This window comes from Homo sapiens, chromosome 12 (genome assembly GCF_000001405.40).
Source record: "Homo sapiens chromosome 12, GRCh38.p14 Primary Assembly".
NCBI lineage: Eukaryota > Metazoa > Chordata > Mammalia > Primates > Hominidae > Homo > Homo sapiens.
Genome location: NC_000012.12, coordinates 63,053,489 through 63,056,786, shown reverse-complemented (window position 1 = coordinate 63,056,786; position 3,298 = coordinate 63,053,489). Strand labels below are relative to the sequence as shown.

The 3,298-nt window shown below is 36.8% G+C and overlaps 1 pseudogene; it reads left to right on the top strand.

The window, feature by feature from the left end:
• On the top strand, positions 975-1,712 carry RSL24D1P5 (ribosomal L24 domain containing 1 pseudogene 5; annotated as a pseudogene).
• The last annotated feature ends 1,586 nt before the right edge of the window (positions 1,713-3,298 follow it).

Sequence of the window (3,298 nt, the reverse complement as noted above, 5' to 3'; positions counted from 1 at the left end):
AGAGCTGACAATGAAGGGGCCTAAAGATTTACAATAAGGATAATAGTTGCAAGGTTATTTATAATGTTTTTTAATGTAAGCCCCTAACTGTCCTACTGTGGGGAAATGATTAAATAAACAATGGCAGATCTAAACATTTCCATACAAAAACAGGTAACAAAACTAGTAAGAAATCAATTATAAGTGAAATATGCCAGTCACAAAAACACAAGCACCATATGAGGCCACTTATACGAAGTACCTAGAATCATCAAAATCACAGATACAGGAAGTAGAATGGTGATTGCCAGGGGCTGGAGGGACTGCGGAGTGGAGACTTGTTGTTCAATGGGTACAGAGTTTCAATTTTGCAAGATGAAAAGAGTTTTTAGAGATTATGTGCAGAACAATACAAACGTACTTAATGCTGCTAAACTGCACCCTTAAAATGGTTAAGGTGGTAAATTTTATTTTATGTTATGTATGTTTTGCCACAATTAAAAATTTAAAATTTTAATAACAATTATATCTTGAAGATGACATTTTGAGTAGTTTTAATTTTCTTCATTTAGTTTGTCTAAGTTTTCTAAATATTTTCTGGAAACCATGCATTTTGTTTGTAAGAAGTGGGGGATCTAGTTATATGAAAAAAAACTCATTCTTTCTTTAGTTGATATTTTTAGTAGCTGATAGCTTTGTGTGATAAAAGAAAGATATTTGGTTATTGTCCCTGTGGAACATATTTGTTTTACCCAGAATGCTCTCACTGCAATATACCCCCATACTTACCTACAGAAGATGTACACACCCTTCAAAACCCAATTTGAGCTCGCCTTCCCTAAGAAATATTCCCTTATGACATTAGTGAGAATTCATTCTCATTTTCAATAAGAAAATGAGTGATAGCAATAATAATAATACCTAATGTTATTTAGGTGTAACAAGCACTAAGATTAGCACATCATTTTGTCTCCTAAAAAATCACACATTTCCCACCTCTCAAGCTTGGTGTTTGGTCAGTGGGGATCCATACGGGTTCAACATGTGTATGGAGAAGTGTTATTTCTATCTGGGGCCCATCCACCCTGGCCACGGCATGATGTTCGTCCACAACTATTGCAGGGTGTTCAGATTTTGTAAATTTAAATGTCATTAAAACTTTAAAAAGAAGCGCAATTCTCACAAGGTCATGTGGGCTACAGCATTCCAGAAAGCAGCTGGTGAAAAGCTTACAGTGGATAATTCATTTAAATATGAAAAATGTAGAAATGAACCTATCAAATACCAGTGAGAGCTACGGAATAAAACTATTGATGCAATGAAGAGAGTTGAAGAGATCAAACAGAAACGCCAAGCTAACTTTACAATGAACAGATTGAAGAAAAATAGAGCTACAGAAAGTTCAGGATATATCGAAGAAGTCAAGCAAAACATCCATCTTATCGGAGCCCGTCTGGCAGGCAAAGAAAGCAGATGGAAGAGAAAATGGTACAGCAATGACAACAGGATGTGGACATGGAAGATGCTTCTTAAAAATCTCACTGTAACTATTTCTATATGTACACTTGAAAATGTCCTTCAGAGATTTGGAACTGCTAAATTATTGGTTTTTTTACATAAGGTCACTTAAATGAAAAGTGATTAAAATGTATATTTCCTACGTTACTGTCTATAAAACATCAGTTATTATAAATGTTAGATTGCATCTCAATGTTAAATCTTCACTGATAGATGTAGTTATGTAAATCATGAAAATTCCATTTATAACTATAAAAGTGAATTGTGGGCGTAAAATGGTCATGCCATTTGGATAATGTCACAAGGCAGCATTTATACAGTGACTAATGACAAAAATGCATGGCTAGCGAGATATAAAATAAAATATTATTTGCAGTAAAATATTTCATTTATTAATGTTATAGAATCAGGGGGATACAAGGAACAAACAATTTGTATGACAGAGTTGAATATCTTTTATTTTGACTTCAGTATTTCCTGTTTTGGTTTATTAGCATCTTAGAACAGCATAATGGCATTGTTTGATGGGGCCTAATTATACTGGACTGTTTTGACCTGGTTACCTGGTTTAGCCATTCTGATAGGTAATTGTGGATGTTGTAAATGAGAGCTGAATAGTCTCTGCCCGAAATGGCGCTATACCCTATCATTTCCACTTTGGAGAATACTCAGTTCTAACTTGTGATTCCTGGTAGAACAGACTTCATTTTTCTGGCCTAGCAATGACTGAGAAGCAGAGGAATCCCAGTGCCTTTTAAAATGTATTGTGTGGTTTTCTTTTAGAAAGCTTCTAATTGTTTTTTGGAAAGTAGAATTTATGAGTAGAACATCTGTTCATTATTTGCAGGTAAAATAAAACCATTTTCAAAGTAAAAAAAAAAAAATCACACATTTAAGTAGGTGTTAGCATCCCCATTATACAGACGAGGAAACTAAGGGAGTGACACAAAATGCCTTGAATTGTAAAACAACATTACAATCTCGGTCTGTCTGCTTCGGACTACATGTCCCTGTATTACCACCTGTATCTTGCAGGGCTCTGAACATTGCTATGCTGGCTTTCTTTCTGTCACAGAATTTTAAACCCATCTTTGGCAGGACAACATTTTTGAAATATTAATTTTTCCCCTTCTCCTCATATTTCCCACTCCATTTGCAGAGATACTAGGTCCTGAACTCCTTGCCACTGAGGAAAGATATGATAGATTCAAAGGTAGAACATAGCTGAGGAGACTCTTCTGATAGAGTGGACATTCTGTGAACTCCAGGATTGATAGGATATTTGGGACAGGCTTCATGTAATAGAGCAGGTCTTCTCTTCATTAGCAACCCCACCTTTCCACTCACCCACTCTTTAAAAGGGAAAGGGGGAAGAAGGAAGGCCAGAAGAGAAGCAGGGAGACCAGTGACCTAGATGGCTATCCAAGAGAGGAACACTTTATCCCAGTTCCCAGGTTTGAGTTGGAGAGAGTGAATGCTTTGGGTACATAAGGAAGTAGACGTGGATCCTAGCCAGTTTCAGAAAAATTACTGTGCCTCAGAGTGTCATGAAAACCTCAATTATAGCACTGAAGGAGAGGTAGACTTTGGTTCTGAAGGGACCAGAGAAGAAGGAGCTTCTCAGAGGTGATCAACAATGTAACCATCACCATCCCTTGGGTTGTACAACTGGGGAAACTCCCTGGCCTGGTACCAGGAGGGAGGTATGGAATGCTGCCCCTGAACCCTTGTGTTAGTCTATTCTCATGCTGCTAATAAAGACATACCTGAGACTGGGAAATTTATAAAGGAAAGAGGTTTA